Below are 20,562 nucleotides of genomic sequence, written 5' to 3'. Positions count from 1 at the left end.
GCCAAGCGCGGTGACTCACGCCTGTAATCCCAGCACTTTGGAAGGCCGAGGCAGGGGGATCACGAGGTCAGGAGTTCAAGATCAGCTTGGCCAAGATGGTGAAACCCCAACTCTACTAAAAATACAAAAAATTAGCAGGGCATGGTGGCAGGCGCCTCTAATCCCAGCTACTTAGAAGGCTGAGGCAGAGAACTGCCTGAACTGAGGAGGCAGAGGTTGCAGTGAGCCGAGATCATGCCACTGCACTCCAGCCTGGGCGACAGAGCGAGACTCTGTCTCAAAAAAAAAAAAAAAAAAAAAAAAAAGAAGAAGAAGAAGAATGTTTAGATTTGTCAGTTGAACCAAGTTTCAGAATATGGCCAGTTTTAAAGATGACACTTTCTCCTTGACCAAATTTCGAATGAGAGAAAAGGCTGCAAACTGTAAAAAGACAAGCAAAACCTCAGACAGAAGTGAAAATCACAAATCTGCAGTCAACAGAATCTCTAGAGAATAAAAATGGAAACTCCTACCTTTCAGTGGAGCTTCAGTTCTAACCCTATCAAATTATTAGTGTGTAAGTCTCAATCTTCAACTAAGCTGGGAGGATTCAGATCCCAAGACTGGCCTTACCAGAGACCCCTGCCAGCCCCAGTGAGGTCGAGTAAACAACAGTCGTTTGTGCTGGTACCAAGGCTCCAACTATTGATGCCACTACTTAGTGGCAATCCCTGAAGGCCTGCTTCAGGTCCTATCTGGGTTGCCAAAATGTCAACCTCAAATAATGAAATTCAGGAAATATGATTAAGTATAGAGTTTATTTGAGCCCAAAGCTTGAGGATGGCTCCCTGGGCACATGCCCCTAGGTTGCCCTGAACATATGTTCCCATTAGCAGCAGTCACAGTGGGGTTTTAAGGAAAAGGAAGAGGCAGTCCCTAAGTTGTTAGCAAGAATTTGCATTAAAATAACAGAAGGTGCTGATTGGCTATGCATCGTTCTTAGCATCACTAATTCCATGTGAACAAGAAGATAATGGGTGAGGCAGCCTGTCAGGAGCAAAAATTCCATCAAACAATTGCCCTGGACAGTTGCTTCTATGGTGGAAGAGGCGCTGAATGAAGTCCCACACTCCTGCCTCTCTGGGCCTGATCATTCTGCACACCTCACAGAGCTCAGACTACCCTATTTTTCTTTTCTCAGGAAAAATGGGTGGATGGTACTGGTGGCCCTGCCTGGTCTGATCATCTACCCTGGTTCTAGTAACCAGATTAATTCCTTGTAATAGAGCTGTGGATTTCAGTTCAGTTCCCACGCACAGACCTTACCTCTGCTTTCTCCGACCACTTCTCCCCCACCCCAGGTACTTCACAGCTGAGAGCCTCTTGCCAGCTTCCAACTCTCCAGCAGTCTTTGTTCCCAGACCGTGTCCTGAGGCTGCACTTTCTGGACATGCCCACCTGCTGGACTGGCATCTGTCTTGTCACTTCTCTGGCCTCACCTCTGCGAAAGGAACACAAAAGTCAGGACCCCAGTTCACTCTGTCAAAAGGAAAAGAATGAGCTGAAAGCTGAGTCATGTAAGCAGCTGCCTTTCCTTTCGTTCCTAAGCAGACGGCTACAGATAGAAGGTTCAACATCCGCTTCTCTTATGTAAAGTGCTGATTTGCTGAGGAGTGAGCTGTACACAGTCGACTGTTCCCAACCTGCTTCTTTTCTCTTGCAACGTGTGGATTACCACACTGTTCCGCTTTCCCCTCCAGCCCACTTTTCCCCTTTAAATACTGAAGCCCTCAAAGTCATCTTTGGAGAAAGGCACAGACCACAGACTGTTTCTGTGATACCGTGTTTTTTTTCCTCCCAGGCATTGTCCTTAACCTTGGCAAAATAAACTTCTAAATTGATTGAGCCCTGTCTCAAGATACTTTTTGGTTTAAACCTCTGAGGCCCTACTGTTTCTAATACAGGTTTCCAGTTTGCTCATCTTTCCCAGGTAGGAAGATGCTCTGTTGCCAAGAGAAATGCAATTCTAACACGCAAATCCGCCCAAACACTAGAGCTCAGCATTCAGCTCTAGCCGAGCTAAGAGGATCCCATGGTCCTGCCCCACAGTCTGGGGCTCATCTTGTGGAGGAGGTAAGTAAAATAGGCCCTGTCTCTCTGACTTCTACCTAATCAGAGTTGATAGTTGCGTTGGAAATTAGGTAAATCGCAGGTGAGTTGATGAATGTGGGAAACCAGATGAAAATGGCTGCTTGATGGGGTTAAAACGCAGGAGAGGAATAGAACCCTTCCAACGGAATGGTTCCAGCCTTGTGACATGAGGAGACTGAAAGGGTATCCCAGAGGCAGGTCACTGGCCTTCCAGCTCCACCTGTGGGTGGCCTTGGCCAGGCAACTGCAAGAGTGCAGGGCCCCGGGGAGGTCGCACCTGGCAAGCGCTGAGGGAGGGTAAAGCGGAGAGGGGTGTGAGAAGAGAAAAACAACACAGAGCGTCCGAGCTATGTGAGGCGTGCGAGGTTAATCCGGCCCGGAGAGACAGGTCTATGCGGCTTCAGCGGTCCCCACCCATGCCTGGCAATTGTTTAAAGGCACTATTGCTCCGGACCCGCTGCCTTCACCCATGAACTTCCTTTCCTGGAATTATGATATAAAGAACAACGTACAGCCAATTAATAGCTTGTTATTTTCATGTAAATTCTTGGTGAGCTATTTAAGAACTGCCCCCCTCTTAAGCTTTATAAACCCACTTGTCACTGTTGCAAATCCTATGTTCAGGGCAACTTGAAGCTATGCTCCCGGGTTGCAATCTTCAAACTTGGCCCAAATAACCTCTCTACTTATATCAAGTTTGCCTCAGCTTTTTTTTTCTTCTAGGTCGACGGTTCCCGCCCCGCAAGGGTGCAGGGAAGGGGACGCCCGCACTTCCTAGTGCTCCCTTAGCTGGGGTCGAGCTGAGCGCCCCCCACCGAGCCCCAGGCGGCTCTGTGGAGAAGCCCCTCGGCCCCGGGTTCGGTCTGCACTGCCAGCCCCCAGTCCCCGGCGCGCAGGATCCAGCAGGGCCAGCGCCGGGCGGGCGAGAAGGCGAGAGAGCTAGGGCCGGGCGGGGAGGGCACCGGCAGGGGGCGCGGGTTCCCAGGACCGAAAAGGCGGAGCCTCCCACGCGCACTACGTGCTCCCTACGCGCATGCGTCCCGCCCACGCGCAGGCAGCACCTCGCCTGACTGGGTAGCGCTGCCACGTCGGGGCGGGGAAGAGCGTCGTCGCGTCCGGGTGACGTCTCCCGAGGGCGTCGGCAGGGTCGGCGGCGTCGGCAGCAGTGTCGACGGCAGCGGCGGCGGCGGGTGGGAAATGGCGGAGTATCTGGCCTCCATCTTCGGCACCGAGAAAGACAAGTGAGTGGGAGCCCCCCGCCGGGGGTTGGGCGCGATCGGGGCGCAGGGTGGTTGAGGCGGTGGGAGGGCGACCGGGGAGGCCCAGGCGGGCCGGCGCGGCGGTGGCGGGGGAGGGGCGCGCGGCGGGAAGGAGCGGTGGCCCTTCCGGCCCCTTGCGCGCCCTCCGGAGCCGCCGCCTCGTGGGCCGCGCGGCGGAAAACTGGAGCGGGCAGAATGAATGGGGTCTCTTTTCGGGGCGCCGCGGCCGAGCTTTCTCCGGCCTTGGGGTCCGGACTGGCTGATCGCCCGACGTCCGGGCCTCCGAGTCGCCGACTCCCGGAAGCCGCCTCGAGCCGCGCTGAAAGTTGCCTGGAGCATCCGGGCCTTTTGGACGTGGACACGTTTGTTCCAACTTTCGGCTGTGAATGTCCTGTCGAGCAAGCTCTGGTACCAGCCTCGCCAGTATTCAGTCGCTTATCTAACTTAGGGTCCTAAGCGTTGGTGTTTTATCCACTTAGCCAGCCTCTTGCCTGTTTAAGCGACCGCTGGGCCGGCAGTAAGGAGATATGACGAGAAAAAGTATGGTGGAGACTACTGGATTAACTATCTAACCACAAGAGACGTGATCCGCTCTTAACATACAGGTGCTCCTGGATTTACCATGGGATTGCGTTCCGATAAACCCATCATGAATCGAAAATGCCTTTAATACCCCGATAAACCCATCATCTAAGTTGAAAATTTGTAAGTCGGTGACTGTTCTTGAAGACACAATTCTGATATAAGGAAAAAGATGTTTTGATTTTTTCCTTAAGGTTGCATGCCTTCCCTAATCAATCGTTAGGTTAAAAGCAAAACATTTAATTTCAGCTTTAATTGCCACCTTGGCACGTACTAATTTCCAGTGAGTTGGCTGTAGTTTAGACTAAATGGAATGTTTTCAGACGTTTGAAGGATAATTCTTACTTTGAAAACCTAAAGACTCAGCATCTGGCTTAATCTACTCTTTAGTTATCTTGGCATTCTTCAGTGCCATACAAAGTTAACATGACTTTATGTTTTCAATGATAAACCCCTAAGTTTGTCATAGATGTTTTTAATGCCACTTTTTTCAAACGCTATTTAAAATGTTTCTCTTTTCCAGGATGGAGTCTATCTTGTAAAATGTCCTCTTCACACATGGTAGAATCTCCTGTGTTGTTTGGATGAGGAGGCTATATTTCTAGCAAAATTTTAAGCCAAAATCTACCAGTTATAGTCACTCCAGAAACATTTAGTGGGGGTCAACTATAGGTCAGTTTCTGGAGACTTAAACATGGGTAAAATTTGGATATTATCCTTAAGGAACTCACGGTATGATCTTGGCGAATGAATAGACCAGCTCTATCGGAACAAGAGACTCTTCTGAGTTTAGGGTGAAGAACTAACACATGTAGGATCGGGGCATCATTAATTTCTCCTTTTCATATTTGCATGTGGCATGACTTCTGTCTTGTAAAAGTCTATCTCCCTATATTTCTGCTATAAGCAACCACATTTCAATCTATTGGGCTATACTATAAAGGTCATGGTTTTAATTCAGAAAAGTTGATTATTTAATCTAGGTTACTTGTGTTTTCTTTTCAGGGAGACGTGGGGTTTTAGCTTCCAGGGAACAGGATCAACTCCTGAAAAATGAAGCTGATGGTTCATATTAACTTTAATTATTATTTAAGCTAAGAATAAAATATAGATCTCTACCAATTAAAAAATGTTTAGCTTATTATATGTTTGAAGTTATAGATGTTTTCTAGATTCAGGGATATCCTAATAGCTTGTCTGTAGTTTAATTGTGTGGAATAATTGGATATTAATTGTTGAGGCCCAGGGCTTGCCCATTCTGAGGTAGTTTTTAAATAAGCTTTCTTTATTTTTAGATGACTTCCTAAAGATATGCTATTGTCTAATCAAGTTAAATAATCTCAAGACCTGTAAGTTTGCAAATATATATAATCACTTTCCTCTCCTGATAAATTTGGACTTTCCCATCTTTATTGCTACCTGATAATAAATCAGTGGCTAGTCAGTCTTCATGGTCCATTAGATTTCACTGAGGTTGAGGCCCTTCAATCTTAACTCTGGATTGACTGTTTAAAACATAATGGCACTTGGTTAAAAAAAAATTGAATTTTGAACAAAGTCTGTCTGGTAAGATGTCCTAATTCATCAGAGATCGGCTTCCCTCCCTGACATTGCTGGCACACAGGCATGATTGCTGGTTCCATTGGATATGGATCTGGATTGTCAGCGTATTTGAACAGTATTAAGGGAGGGTTTTGCAGTAGAGACAGAAGGTGACGTAAGGTGGTTCCTAAGGTGGGTTCGGTCAGTCCCCTAATAGTTTGTTTTCAGTGTATTGAGACCAGGAGAATTGATTTACTTCAGACCTATTTTTTGAAACTCCCTGTTGGTCTGGTGTCATGCGTTTAGAGAGACTCTGAACTTCGTTTTCTGTTTTCCTTAGATAATGATAGCACTTCATGAGCACCATATGTGAAGCACACATACGTTCTGTCTGACTCTCAGAACAGTGCCACATTGGCATTGTCATCATTTACAGATGACATCTGAGAGCTAGGGTGACTTGCCCAAGCCCAAGCAGCTGGTAGCAGAGTTGGGATCTTAACCCTCACCACACCGGTGTTTTCAAGAGAGAACTTGGTCGTGGAGAACTGGAGAACAGATACTGCCTAAGTTACATTTAGTTTTAGACTAATTTAATACTCCATTTAAGAAACAAACAGAACAGCTGTGCAGTTAGGAAAGTGGAGGGGATTTGAATGAGGAGGAGGCGGGTTAGAGTTAGAACCGTCTTTGCTGAACAAGTAGTGTGTTTGCAGAAAGGGAAGTTGAAGTTACGTTGTCCTAAAATACAGCAAGGAAGAGGAGGTGCTTAATACCACGGAAAAAAGTCTGTGTCATGTTTCTGTGAGGTTAAAAGTAATTTGATAGTGTATGTCATGCTGCTGACATATTCCATGTGTTTGATATCTTCCCAGCAAAATAATCAGCTCTCATTTTCCCTTACAGAGTCAACTGTTCATTTTATTTCAAAATTGGAGCATGTCGTCATGGAGACAGGTGCTCTCGGTTGCACAATAAACCGACGTTTAGCCAGGTTTGTTTGCCTTTTTTTCATGTAAATTATAAAAACTTCATGTTCTTTTCAAAGACAGTTAATTTCTACATATTAAGCAAGTCATTTTTTCTCTCGTAGTTGTATTTTCCATTTGTGTTCATAAGTGTGTTCTTTTATTTAAATAATAGTGAGGCAGGTGATCGACTTCCAGTGGAAGGTCTGAGACCACCACTCCTTGTTTTTATCATTAGAGAAACTTTAAAAATCAGTTTTTGATGTTTGTGTGTTGGCTGTGCCTGATATTTGCTGCCCTGCCATCTTCCCTACCCCCTCTGATAGACATGGGTCCAGAGGGGGTGGCCGTGCCAGCCTTGGGTTAGCCTCCTCCAGGCACCAGTGGACACGGAGTGGGCTTTCTGCTCTTTGCTGTCTCCAGACAGTAGAGGTGATGGAGCCACCTTCCAAGTTAGCGTGATTGTCACCAGGCCCATCATGCTGCTCGAGCTTCTCTGGCTGCGTCCTCACTTTCACATCCCTAGCTGAGGAAACAGCGAGTCGCATCACGTCATGGAAACATGAAAAATTAAGCTGAAAGGTAGAAAATGGGCCGTAAATTGCTCTTAGCGGGTCTGTTTGGTTAATTGAGGAGTGCCTGTTATCTTGGGCTTAGATCCGCTCTGAGTTCAGTTCAATCAAAAGTTGTGAGTTTTGATAGTTTTATTTTTGGTTAGTTGAAGAAAAGGCAAAGGTTGGTACACTATAAAGGATCACTTACGGATTAAAGGGAGAAGGCACCTCTAATCGGAGCAGAAAACTTGTGCCCACGTTGATGAGAACATTTGAAATTTGAAAATCGATGCCCAAGTCTTTCCAGATGGAGGGCTGGGGAACTCCTTCCAACCCACCCTTGAAGTCTAAATGTGCAGCCTCTGAGCTGTTGAGTAGCTATTATGCGTGGTCCCTGGGAGCTGCCAGGCTCTGCCTTTGAGCTCACATCTGTCTGTATACGTTTTCCTGTAAGCATTTAAGAAAATCTACCACTTTGTGTAAGTGAGCTGGGAGAAGGAAACATGGGTTTTTTCCGGTTGAAGCCCATGGACGACCCCACAGCACACAGTGTTTTTAGAAGGGAAGAGGATGATGGCTTTTCCCTCCATTATGCTAATTACCAAGTGGTTAGTATAATAGCAGTCTGTCTTTTGATAGCTCTGAACATGAGTTTCTTTTTACAAATTTCAAAATCTTGGAGAACTAGCTTTACATTTTCTGTGTATTGCAATTGTTTTTTCTTTAATGTTTTGATTTATGAACCGAATCTCCCCTAACTAAACCAGTGGCCATGGATTGTGGTATAACCAAGCATCTTAAGTGACCACCCAGTTCTTTGATTTTGGGGGGTGTCCCAAGTGTTGGGCTGAGAGAAATCAACTGTTCCCTATTCTAAAAGTTTTCTTTAATCTGGCTGGAGGCACTTTCTTTATGTTTTTCTGGATCATAGATTACCTGAGAATGTGAAATGTGAAGTTAATTTAGGCATTCCAGGTCAGTGCTGGGGAGAGCCCATTGGAGCTCGATGGGGTCAGTAGTATGTGTCAGCTTAAGCATCCTAGTTTGATGCGTGGGTTTGTTTTGGTTGGTTTTAGGCAATCCTAGCCACCCTTGGCTTTCCCATTAGACTGCATTGCCTCTTTACGTTAAGCTTCCTTCATTAAATAGCCACTGCCAGAATACCTGAGTGAGACCAACTGAATTTTACTGTTGAATAATTGGGCTCAGTTTAGCTTTTCATCAGGGTTGTCATGGTACGGTCATTTCAGTTCAAAGCTGAGTCAAGTCAGCTTTGGGAAGCCTCCCAGGCCTGAGTTCAGTTGACTCAGGGCTGTACTTGGCGGCTTATGGAAGAAACGGGGCCCTGATGCAGGTCTGAGTGGTTCAGTGTGGACAGTTTGTCAGACCTCCCTCTTAGGTGGGGTGGGCTTCCCAGCTGCACACCTTTGACTGAGGAACTCTTCATACAACCACTCCCCTTTAAACAGAGCTAGAAATGGAGCTGGCTGGTTTTATAAAACCACCACTTACAAAACTGCTTCACGTGGATATTGTTGAGACTAAACATTTATTTTTCTAAATCATGCGAGTGATTGCTTTAGCTTGTAAATCTCTAGCATAATTCAGGGTGGGTTTCTTTATAAGCTGCTTACAGTGATATGGACGTTAAGATTCATGTAATATATTAGCCTACTAACTTAAACATGGTTTGTTTTTTCAGACAACTTGATTTTAAGAAGAACGGTACAGTGTAAGGTTTCAAGTCTGCCTGATCCAGTTTAAAGCACAAGGGCTAAAAGGATTTTTTTTCCTTAAAAGAAGGATCGGAAAAGAGCAAATGTTTTAAGCTATTGTATTATGTAAACAGAGATCCCACCAAGAAAGTGTAAATCAGAGCCGGGTGTCCATGACAGTTGACAGACCTGTTTGGTGTGCCTGTTTTGCTAGGAGACCAGAGAACTTGATGTACTGCAGACAGCTGAGTTACGCATTTGGTTTTGAAAAATTATCTTGTGTGAGGAATATGATTATAACGTGAATTTTTCCACATCTTGGTGTCTGCTAGCTTGAAGTACAAGAAAATATTAGTATTCTACTATTTATCTTGCATTAAAACACTTTAACATTGAAAACGTGGGACTAATCAAAACAATACAGTTTCTTCTTGGTTGCTGGCTGACTTGACCCAAGTCACTGCTCAAACTCTGTTTTCATAATATGATGGTTTTGGTGTACTCTTCAGAAGACAAATGTCTGACTTGCGGGAAAAAAACAAACGTTTAGCCATTTGCAAACAAATTGTCTCTTTGCAATTGTCTAATATATGCACAGCAGCCAGTAGAATTCCCCTTTTTATTTTTTTTTCCCCGCAGACCATCTTGATTCAAAACATCTATCGTAATCCCCAAAACAGTGCACAGACGGCTGACGGCTCACACTGTAAGTCCCACAGTTGGAGAAATTTTTTTAAAACAATGGTGTTAAAGAGCCCACTCTTAATTGAGACAAATAATGTTGGCTTCTGAGCTGCTGACATAGAGCTGTTGCAAACAGGACAAGGTGCTGGAACTCCTTGGCGCACACAGCAAGAACTTGATACTTGGCCACGTTCAGGAGGCTTATCCCTTCTAGGGAGGGTCACTGGCCCGGCCACCTCCATTGATTGACATTTGTCATGAGAGCAGGTCCGTCCATGTGAAACGGATTTCAACATTTTGAGCCATTCATTGGTCTTTACAGTGACTGAACCCCTGGCCTTTATTAAGTTCTTTGTGTAAAATTAAAACTCTTAGGAATATTAAGGAATCAATAAGGTAAGTTGCCCAGTAAGTGTGGGTTTTATTTCACCATTATAATTTTTCCTCCAGGAAGTGGAGATTTCATGATATGTAACAATTGTATTTCTCTAATACAGTAATTTTTTCCATCAGTTTATGTAAGCATTATTCTTTCCGAGTTCATTAAAAATTTTCTGCCACATCTAAGAACATTTTGGTGCTAGCCTGGCAAACTATTTGTGCTTTTACCTGAATTGGAATTTTGAAAAGGAGAGTTTTCACGTTCTGTAAGCAGAAGTACAAGATGGGCATATCATGAGACCTCCGTTACACCGCAGTGTTAGGGATTCAAGGCAGCCGCCAACTGAGAAAACGCCTCTGCTTCTCCAGAAAATAACTTGCTCTCTTTTCAGCACTGAATCTCAACTGAAGCACTTGCCAGAGGCAGCCGGTTAAGTGTTTACCTTTAATTTTCCATAATATAAAGTTGTTGCGTTTTGTATTTCAGACCATTGCCCTCTTGAACATTTACCGTAACCCTCAAAACTCTTCCCAGTCTGCTGACGGTTTGCGCTGTAAGTTCATACAAGTTCCTTCCCCGGTTCCCTGGGCTTGCGTGTCAGAGCTCAGTGTCCACTCCATCTGGTCTGCCGTGCTAGTGTCAAGGACCGCGTTTCACTAGAGGTGGCAAGGAGCTTTCGTCCCACTGACCCCATGGAAACCTCTTTTGGAGATTTGAACTCCCACCGTGTGTTAAAAGGGAAAAAGTAACTGGAAAGGGTGCCCTTTAAAACAGTCTAGAGCTGGGCCGGGCGCGGTGGCTCACGCCTGTAATCCCAGCACTTTGGGAGGCCGAGGCGGGTGGATCATGAGGTCAGGAGTTCAAGACCAATCTGGCCAACATGGTGAAACCCCATCTCTACTAAAGATACAAAAATTAGCTGGGCGTGGTGGCAGATGCCTGCAATCCCAGCTTCTAGGGAGGCTGAGGCAGAGAATCGCTTGAACCCGGGAGGCGGAGGTTGCAGTGAACTGAGATCGTGCCGCTGCACTCCAGCCTGGGCGACAGAGTGAGACTCCGTCTCCAAAAAAAAAAAAAAAAACAGTCTGGAGCTGCTGCTGCCCCTTCTTCCTTTACTTTGGCCGTCATCCTAGAGGGAATGTACTGGAATTAAACGTCGAGTCATATTCTTCCCTCTTAGAGCAACAAAATTTGAATGTTTCTCTCACTTTCTGGAATTTTTAAAAAGCAAACTTTTTAAGTTATTTTTTCAGATTTTATTTCTCATTAGCCTTTTTTCCTTGAACTCCATTTTGGAGTGCACCCTGTAGTTGTAAGAGCATTGTGCTGAGAGCGTTCCCCAAATGAGGGTCTGCAGCTTGCACTGACCCCTGAGTTCCTCACCCACCAGCCCCGTGCCGACCCGTCTAACCCGTGTGGGGGTGCTCCACTCAAATAGGCCCTTGGCAGAAAAGATTGTCCGTTCTGTCCACACACTGCCTGGATACAGTCTCCAGCTCTAGGAGATGGAATTGGTTTGCTCCATTTAGAAATAGATCAAAACTGGGCATTCAGTAGATGGTACCAATATCTTCCTGTACTGGGAAATACTAAATTTAGATTGTGAATATTTACCTAATGATAATTTTTAGAGAAGGAGATATCATAGATGAGTATGATTGGGAAGTTCAGAAAACTAAAATTTGATTTTTACAGCCATCCAACTATAGAATCATTAGAATTTAGTCATTTATGGATAAATTAAAATGAACACCTGGACTCTTGTTAAAATCAGAAAGTCCAAACCAAAGATAGGCACTTCCCATTCACCATTCTGTTTTAAAGCAGTAAAAATTGAGGTGCCCTTGGATATCCACAAGCCTAAATTGAGTACACCCTTGAACCAGAGCCCCTCAGTTAATGGGGTGACCGACATGGGGTAGCTGATCCCAGGGGGCATTCCCCTCTCGAGCTGGCCCTGCACTGGGTGGCCTGGGGATTGTGCTTCCTTGCACAGTGGTGCACATTTCTATGTGTGGATGAGATTTTCTTGTCAACTTTTCCTGCCAAGACACTAAATGCTTTTCAGTGCTAATACTGACCTGATAGTAGAGATTTCTTTCCCTGAGTCGGATGGTAGCAGGATTTACTTGGTAACCCTTGGTTTAAAATACCTGTTTTTTTGTTTGTTTGTTTTCTTTTGTTTTTTAAGGAAATAAGATCAATAGGCGGAGGGAAATTGTTTCTATATGCACTTATTAAATAATTTTTGTTAACAACCCTGCCCTGGGATAAAAGTGAATGGAAGTACATGACTGAGTAACAGTAATTAATTCTTTGCCCTGATCGTTTATTTGGGGACTGTATATGCTTTCTTGACTGACAATAGAATGTTGTATTAGTTTTCATTGTGTCTTTATTTGCAGTTCACAGCACTTTTGTTTTGCATATGCTACAAACTAAAAGTTTAGCAATTACGTTATATTCCAATTCTGGAGTCCAGATTGTACAAATTAGATGAAATTCTAATTCGTCATTTTAGGAAGAAATCAATTACCTAAAATTACTGGCTCTTTTCAACATACCCTTTAGTATGTAAAAAAATAAGCTTCAAATGCGTGGGTTAAAGTTAACTATCAATCCCAGTTTAAGAATGATATTTCTGTAAGAAAACTGCTTTATTTTCCAAGTTGTAGTATTTAACATAGGCTGAGTCACAAATAAGTTTTTAATTGTATCTTAATGCAGTTGTCTCTGCCTTTCAAGTCACTTTGATTGAAACATTTTAAGCAGAACAAATATAGCCAATAATTTAAAATAATCACCCCAAAACCATTTCTCAAACCTGCTAAAACTTTGAGCATGTGAATAATTTTCTCCTCTTCACATTCTTCTTATGTGGGAAGGAAGTGAATTTGAAATATTAAAATCTGCCCTTTGGAATAGGCTACTTTGGCCGTTTATAACTTGATTTCTACTCGGGGAGGAAGGTACATTCCCAATAGCTTTCCAATTGGGATATCCTGTGATATGATTGGCAGGCTGTCCGAGTAGTTACACTTAATAAAATTTGGGTTCGAAAGCAGATTCCTGGAAGTTCAAAAATAACTAAAACAGCCCCGGATAGGTTAGAAAGTGAACTTAAATCATTCTCAGAATTAGAAAATAAGAAGTTATTTTTTATCTTCAAAGATAAAAAGGGGGCCGGGCACGGTGGCTCACGCCTGTAATCCCAGCACTTTGGAAAGCCGAGGCAAGTGGATCACGAGGTCGAGAGATTGAGACCATCCTGGCCAACATGGTGGAACCCCGTCTCTACTAAAACTACAAAAATTAGCCAAGATCACGCCATTGCACTCCAGCCTGGAGACAGTGAGACGCCGTCTCAAAAAAAAAAAAAAAAAAGATAAAAAGAGTTTTGAGCAAGCTCAAAGACCCGTGTGCCAGCAGTCAGATGCCCACGTTGGGTGCACAGGCTAAGGCAGCCGGCCCAATCTGGAAACCAGTCAGGCTTTTGCCAGCCCCTAATCTAGCTGATTGGAACATGTTTGTTGATACACCAGCTCTGTGATTTCTCAGGTTTAGAGAACTCTAGAATTTGATAGAGTGGGCCGGGGGCAGTGGCTCATGCCTGTAATCTCAGCACTTTGGGAGGCTGAGGTAAGCAGATCACGTGAGGTCAGGAGGTTGAGACCAGCCTGGCCAACATGGTGAAACCCCGTCTCTACTAAAAATACAAAAATTAGCCAGGCATGGTGGTGCGCGCCTGTAGTCCCACCTACTTGGGAGGCTGAGGAAGGAGAATTGCTTGAACCTAGGAAGTGGAGGTTGCAGTGAGCCAAGATCACGCCACTGCACTCCAGCCTGGAGTGGACAGAGACTCCATCTCAAAAGAAAAAAAAATTAATTAAATTTGATAGAATGATGATGGGGATAGAGTGTAAATTTGCCAAATTTACCCACGCAACAGACATGATTTTACCTAATACATGTGAATTATGAAGAATAAACTGATGAAAATAGTTTGGGAATATAAAACTTAAGAATACTTGCGCCGGGCACGGCGGCTCACACCTGTAATCCCAGCACTTTGGGAGGCCGAGGCAGGTGGATCACGAGGTCAGGAGTTCAAGACTAGCCTGGCCAAGATGGTGAAACCCCATCTCTATTAAAAATACAAAAATTAGCCGGGCGTGGTTGTGGGCGCCTGTAATCCCAGCTACTCAGGAGGCTGAGGCAGAGAATCGCATGAGCCCAGGAAGCGGAGGTTGCAGTGAGCCGAGATTGCGCCACCGCACTCCAGCCTGGGCGACAGAGTGAGACTCCGTCTCAAAAAAAAGAAAAAAAAAAGAATGCTTTCATCAGCAAAACATTGTAACATTCCCTTTACTTGAGGGCGTCCACAATACCGTAAGGTTGCGTGAACTGTCCTACTGAATCTTCATGGTTGCTTGGATTTTAATCACATCAGAAGAATTTGAGAGCATACCATGGCTGGCAGTCCATAAAAGACTAGTTAGGAACATCAGCTTTTAATCATCGACCCTGCTTTCAGGTTTCATTTTAAACTTATAGAAGAGGGGAAGACATCAGTGTGCTTATTTGGCCTTTACTCTAAATCTTAAAAGGAAGAAAATTTTAATATTTCTTAGTTTGAGCCCAGGTGCGGTGTCTCACGCCTGTAATCACAGCACTTTGGGAGGCCAAGGCAGGCGGATCACTTGAGGTCAGGAGTTCAAGACCAGCCTGCCAACGTGGTGAAACCCTGTCTGTACTAAAAATTAAAAAAAAAAAAAAAAATTAGCCGGGCGTGGTGGCAGTCGCCTGTAGTCCCAGCAACTCCAGAGGCTGAGACAGGAGAATCGCTTGAACCCCAGAGGTGGAGGTTGCAGTGAGCTGAGATGGTGCCACTGCACTCCAGCCTGGGCGACAGAGCCAGACTGCATCTTGTGGGTGTAAAAAAAAAATTTGTAGTTTGAGAGTCAACTTTTTCCTCACAGTTTCTGAAAATGTGGCCCTTTTGATGCTGATTAAAGCTGGTTGTGATTTTAACACCTTAGTAGCCAGAATCGAGACTGTCATGGGGACATTTAAAATCTCACCACACTTGACACCATTCACAAGTAGCCATGTGGCTCAGTCTCCTGAGTGCTCCTGCAGAGTGCAGCTCTGCCAGGCTTTTCTCTAGATAATCTCGTGTGTGTTACTGTAGCAGTTTGAGTTTAAACACAAGAGTTCACTCGGTTAACATGTTCTAACCAGCAAGATTTCTGTTGTTTGCAGGTGCCGTGAGCGATGTGGAGATGCAGGAACACTATGATGAGTTTTTTGAGGTGAGAGAACTGAACTCTGTGACTGATAGACCTGTTGATCTTCTGTATCTGTTTGGAAGGATTTAAAATGTTTCTCTGCTAATAAACATACATGAGTTATATCTAATGACACTTTGTAATGTATAACGAGTCTTAAACCACTGTGGTCTCCCTTCAGGAGGTTTTTACAGAAATGGAGGAGAAGTATGGGGAAGTAGAGGAGATGAACGTCTGTGACAACCTGGGAGACCACCTGGTGGGGAACGTGTACGTCAAGGTAGGAGCCAGGGCGAGACGGCGGCGTGGCCGCTTAGTGTGCCAGGGCCAAGGCCAACAGGCGAAAGCGAGACAGTGGTGCAGCCGCTTAGTGTGCCGGGGCCAAGGCCGACAGAGGATGGGGTGCCTGTCGCCATGCACCTTGAGATCCTGGATGCTCAGGCGCACAGCAGGGCTCAGGTGCACTGGCTCGGCGCCTACCAGCTGCGTCATATGTGGCGGTGGCCAGCCCACACGTGCGCCCAGCCAGCAGAACTGAAGGACGGACCGTACACCACAGCCATCGTTATTTCAGTGTAGAATATTTAGTACCTGTTGGTTTAGAAGCTGTGTGGACTAAGGAAAAGTTAGGTTTACTCACATGTTTGGTTTCTTTTTTCTTTTTTAGTGAATAAAACTTTATTTGCCTACACAGCCATATTTGCTCCTTTAACCAGTTGAATTTGAAAAATGAAGGCAACATTTGGCAAAATCTTGGACTATCTTGAAGTTAATCTCATTGAAAATAAAGGATTTTTCAATTATCCTGTAATACTATTCCACCTTACTATACCTGAGTGTGTATATCTCTCTCTGATATACTTGGATTGGTAATTGAGAAAGTCTTATTAAAGCGTGGATGGCAAGCACTTCTGTTTTTGTCTTTTCAGTTTCGCCGTGAGGAAGATGCGGAAAAGGCTGTGATTGACTTGAATAACCGTTGGTTTAATGGACAGCCGATCCACGCCGAGCTGTCACCCGTGACGGACTTCAGAGAAGCCTGCTGCCGTCAGTATGAGATGGGGTGAGTGAGGAGTGGCCAGTGACGTGACTGAGCACAGTTCGGGGCCGTGTGCACACGAGGTAGTAAATGTCTCCTTCCAACCCACCCACAGAGAATGCACACGAGGCGGCTTCTGCAACTTCATGCATTTGAAGCCCATTTCCAGAGAGCTGCGGCGGGAGCTGTATGGCCGCCGTCGCAAGAAGTGAGTATTCCTGTGCCCGTTGTTAAGCTCAGTGGCTTCTTTCTCCCCTCACAACCCTCCCCCTTCCAAAAAAAAAATTTTGGCATAGGTGTCGTTTCTGTTTTTTAAAAGGCAGTGCTTAGAACATAGTACATATTTTTAAATATCCAAATGTCCTCTTTGGAGAAGAATATTCACCTGCACACAGGTAACTTCATTATCCAACTTCTCAAGTAGAGATCAGATCTTAGTAATCAAGCAAGAGGGCGGTTAGCTGGGCAGCCGCGGACATGAGGCTCGTGGTGAAAGTGGGCATGCAGTTTATTCTCCCAGATATTACGAAGAAGAAGAATAGATGTTGTAACCTCCTTTAGATCAGGGATGGCTTCCCTGGGACACATTGGAAGAAGAATTGTCTTGGGTCACAAATAAAATACACTAATGATAGCTGATAACTTTTTTTTTAATTGCAAAAAAAATCTCATAATGTTTTAAGCAAGTTGATGAATTTGTGTTGGGCTGCAGGTTGGACAAGCTTTTGCTTTACATATTTCACATGTCCACTGGGGTTTCTTTTGGTTTTGCTTGTTGGTTTTAGGGCATTTCATTATGTCTTGGGATCGCTGGCATCCTCCCTTCGGGACACTGGCAGAATCAGGCCCAGCGGTCACATCTCTCTGATCCTACATTTAAATGTACGACAGGTCACAGAGCAGAGAAAATCAAGACGTCAGAATCGAACCGATTGAGTTCTGAGTCTGGAGAGGTTCTCATCCCTCTTCTGTTAAACATGGACTAGTAAATAGATGGGTGGCGATTGTTTTATTGTCAGCATTCAAGAAGCATAAGAGAAAAACAGGCCTGCTCTCCCCAGCCCAAAAACCTGATGGACACAGTAGCTATGAGCGCCTGAAGCGTGGGGTCAGTGAGGGTTGAAGATGGTATGTGTCCAGCTCATTTTGATTATGATTTCCTGTGACCATTTGAGTTGGTTCTAGAAGAAGACAGAAGATGCAAGGTATTACACCTGTTCACTTCTAAGTTGCACATTTTTTTCTCCTGAAACTTTTCACACCTGAAATCAGGGTGTGTCTCAGTCACGGCGTGCAGTCTCTTCAGCAGTGTTTTTCCTTATCAGTGCCGTTGGCTTGAGGAGCTGCGCGTGTTGAGAGAGTGGGTGTGGTTCTGTGCTGCGTGCCGTGGTTTGGATGGCACGGTTTTCTTTATTTTCCTTGGTTGCAGGCATAGATCAAGATCCCGATCCCGGGAGCGTCGTTCTCGGTCTAGAGACCGTGGTCGTGGCGGTGGCGGTGGCGGTGGTGGAGGTGGCGGCGGACGGGAGCGTGACAGGAGGCGGTCGAGAGATCGTGAAAGATCTGGGCGATTCTGAGCCATGCCATTTTTACCTTATGTCTGCTAGAAAGTGTTGTAGTTGATTGACCAAACCAGTTCATAAGGGGAATTTTTTTTAAAAAACAACAAAAAAAAAAACATACAAAGATGGGTTTCTGAATAAAATTTGTAGTGATAACAGTATTCTTGGTGTAACTTATTTCTTGTGGAAGTTCTTTAAATTTCTTTTTCTTTATAAATCTGCTAGTCATCTTGGAGGTAAAGATTAATATCCATCCACCACTTTGAGTATAAATGAAATAATATTTTTTATCTTAGGGCATGAAATAAAACACATACCAGGTGAGATCTACATGCTAAATAATCCGGAATTTCTCGAGGCTGTCATGGAAAGCCTTTTGGGGTTTCTTTTCTAACTGGTTAGTGAAGAAGTGCTTAGCTATAATCAGTAGACACGCTGTAGACTGCACTGATGTTGGGAAGAAGGCTGATCTGTGGTGAGACACAGTGGGTGGGCCCGACCCATGTTACCTTCTCGTTCCTGCGAGTTTGTGTCAAGAACCCCATGTGTTCGTGGGAGGGAGCGTGGATGCTCACACGGCACACTGAGGGCCAGTAGTCCGTGTCCGTGTTTCCTTATGCCAATGGCTGTGGGAGACACAGAAGCCTGCGGTGCAGATCCGCCTTTAGACACTCTGGTATTACTTTCCCCAAGCTACTCGGGTGGCGCGTGCTGGTGGTGTGACTATGGTGACAGCCAGCTGACCGGTCTGGGGCACCTGCCACAAGTCAGTGCTGGGGGCTGAGCATTTCATTCCTAAGACCAAAACGTTCCAAGTGAGGCCATCCCAAACCATGCCCACGTGTCCACATACCTCATCCTCAAAAACCTCCTGGCTCTAGGTGGGAGTCACCCAGGCTCTCCTGCCCTGCTCTGCTCCTTGTGGGGGCTCAGTGACAGATCCTGCTGGTGGAGTAGGGGAGTGGCTGGGCCCTAACTACACACCCAGTGAAGATTGGCAGGACATACTACTTGACCATCTCATGAAAGCCCATTTGTATGTGATGAAGTTCAAGAAGGTGATGGTGTCGATTCACCTGGGAGGCTGAAGTGAGCTATGATCATGCCACTGCACTCCAGCCTGGGCAACACAGTGAGACCTTGTCTCTTAGAAAAAAATAGGTTTGTATACTATAGTAGTGGGCAGATAATTTTAGATGGGTTGGTGGCAGTGTTTGGCGATGTGGGTGGTGGGCAGAAATTTTAGATGGGTTAGTGGCAGTGTTTGGTGATGTGGGTGGTGGGCAAATGGTAATTTTAGATGGGTTAGTGGCAGTGTTTGGTGATGTGGGTGGTGGGCAAATGGTAATTTTAGATGGGTTAGTGGCAGTGTTTGGCGATGTGGGCCGTTTCGTTTATGTCCTTATACTCGACATGTTTCCAAAAAAAGTACAAACTTTTTTTTTCTTTTACCTTAACTTTGGTCAGTGATGGCCATTTATTAATTTCCACTCAGTCTGAAGGAGGGAAGATGGCAAAAGTTGTACTTTATATTTCTTAACCGCTAAGAATCAGAAAGCTTATTTAAAATATACATGACTTTGAGAGGCTGAGGCAGGAGGATCACTTGAGTCTAGGAGTTCAAGACCTGCCTGAGCAGCAAACATAGACCCCCATCTCAACAAAAAATAAAAAAATTAGCTGGGTGTGGTGGCACATGCCTGTGGTCTCAGCTACTCGGGAGGCTGAGATGGGAGGACCCACCCAAGCCTGGTAAGCCGAGGCTGCAGTGAGGTGTGATTGCCACTGTACTCCAGCCTGGGCAACAGAGTGAGACCCTGTCCCAAAAAAAAAACCAGTAAATGATAAAATGTGAATCAAAATGCCATAAAAAGTGTCTTCAGACATTGTAGTAAGAGGAGCTCACAGTCACACAGGAAGCCTGTCACCCTGCTCCCCACTCCCCCACCCCAGTGTGGGTCTATGATGCGGTTGAGGTGGGAAGGTGAGCATGACCCTGAGTGCCCATGAGGCACTGCTGCCCCTCTGGTGTGCGTGGATCATGGTTGAGAAAGAGCAGCCCAGTGAAATGAGTCCAGGCGGTCCACCAGTGGCAGATAGAGTTAAGCTTTTATACAGGTGCTAGGGCCAGGCAGATTGTTTTTAAAAAGGAAGAATATAAAAGCCACTTGAAATAATTTTGATTTATAATGAATTCAGGTCCAAATACCACTGTAAATTGTTTCTTACGTGAATATTATATGACGTTTGCTGAGATATAAAACCAAATGGCAAACAGCTGCCAGAATAAACTTTAAATACGGTATCAGCACATCTGATTCAACAGTGGTGTTGAATTATCTAAGTTACTGTGTGCTCCCTGCAGCAATTTTTTTTTAAGAGACGGAGTCTTGCTCTGTCGCCTAGGCTGGAGTGCAGTGGCACAATCTCGGCTCACTGCAACTTCCGCCTCCCAGGTTCAAGCGATTATATGCCTCAACCTCCTGAGTAGCTGGGATTACAGGCACACGCCGCCAGGCCCGGCTAATTTTTTGTATTTTAGTAGAGGTGGGATTTCACCACGTTGCCCAGGCTGGTCTCGAACTGCTGAGCTCAGGCAATCCACCTGCCTCGGCCTCCCAAAGTTCGGGGATTACAGGTGTGAGCCACCATGCCTGGCCTCCCTGCAGCATTCTTTTGCTTGCTGTTGAGTCAGGAGGACTAACAAGCTTACCATATGCATGTGCTTGTAAGTAGATAAGGATCATTTTAAATATTTCTGAAACCATGATTAATGGGGTCATTGCCCTGCTAATTGGAGAAAATCTGTTGCCTTCAAATGAACTGAGTATGGGGAAGGTATTGGTGGTGTGCCCAC

At 45.2% G+C, this 20,562-nt stretch overlaps 1 protein-coding gene and 1 long non-coding RNA gene across 13 annotated transcripts in view; one reads left to right on the top strand and one right to left on the bottom strand.

The window, feature by feature from the left end:
* Window positions 1-3,132, bottom strand: part of LOC101928369 (uncharacterized) — a 43,255-nt gene extending 40,123 nt beyond the window's left edge. For 4 of the 5 annotated variants that reach the window (XR_937768.3, XR_937770.3, XR_937769.3 and 1 more), the window contains exons 1-2: window positions 2,727-3,132; window positions 1,306-1,480 (exon numbers count right to left, since the gene is read on the bottom strand). This is a non-coding gene — a long non-coding RNA (uncharacterized LOC101928369). Of the gene's footprint in view, window positions 1-1,305 lie in introns of all 5 variants that reach the window. The other variant, XR_007067884.1, reaches the window with a different exon arrangement.
* Window positions 3,244-17,866, top strand: U2AF1 (U2 small nuclear RNA auxiliary factor 1). 8 transcript variants are annotated; one of them, XM_024452130.2, is made up of 10 exons: window positions 3,244-3,371; window positions 4,977-5,036; window positions 5,267-5,320; window positions 6,420-6,507; window positions 10,303-10,369; window positions 15,079-15,128; window positions 15,286-15,384; window positions 16,034-16,167; window positions 16,259-16,351; window positions 17,573-17,866. In XM_024452130.2, exons 6-10 carry the CDS (start codon window positions 15,099-15,101, stop codon window positions 17,718-17,720), a joined length of 504 nt encoding a protein of 167 aa, XP_024307898.1. In that variant the 5' UTR covers window positions 3,244-3,371; window positions 4,977-5,036; window positions 5,267-5,320; window positions 6,420-6,507; window positions 10,303-10,369; window positions 15,079-15,098; the 3' UTR covers window positions 17,721-17,866. The 8 variants fall into 8 exon arrangements, with proteins under 8 accessions (XP_024307898.1, XP_024307897.1, XP_024307899.1 ...); XM_024452129.2 differs by lacking the exon at window positions 4,977-5,036; XM_024452131.2 differs by lacking the exon at window positions 5,267-5,320.

The sequence above is a fragment of the Homo sapiens genome, chromosome 21 (assembly GCF_000001405.40).
Source record: "Homo sapiens chromosome 21, GRCh38.p14 Primary Assembly".
Taxonomy (NCBI): Eukaryota; Metazoa; Chordata; class Mammalia; order Primates; family Hominidae; genus Homo; species Homo sapiens.
This window is presented reverse-complemented; position numbering and strand designations above follow the sequence as displayed.

What these genes read in the sequence shown, in the direction of transcription:
- U2AF1 (NM_001025203.1), top strand. Translation starts at nt 3,328, where the DNA reads ATGGCGGAGTATCTGGCCTCCATCTTCGGCACCGAGAAAGACAA. An exon ending in ACTATGATGAGTTTTTTGAG is followed by an intron (nt 15,129 to 15,285) that starts GTGAGAGAACTG and finishes GTCTCCCTTCAG; the next exon opens with GAGGTTTTTACAGAAATGGA. An exon ending in TGCCGTCAGTATGAGATGGG is followed by an intron (nt 16,168 to 16,258) that starts GTGAGTGAGGAG and finishes ACCCACCCACAG; the next exon opens with AGAATGCACACGAGGCGGCT.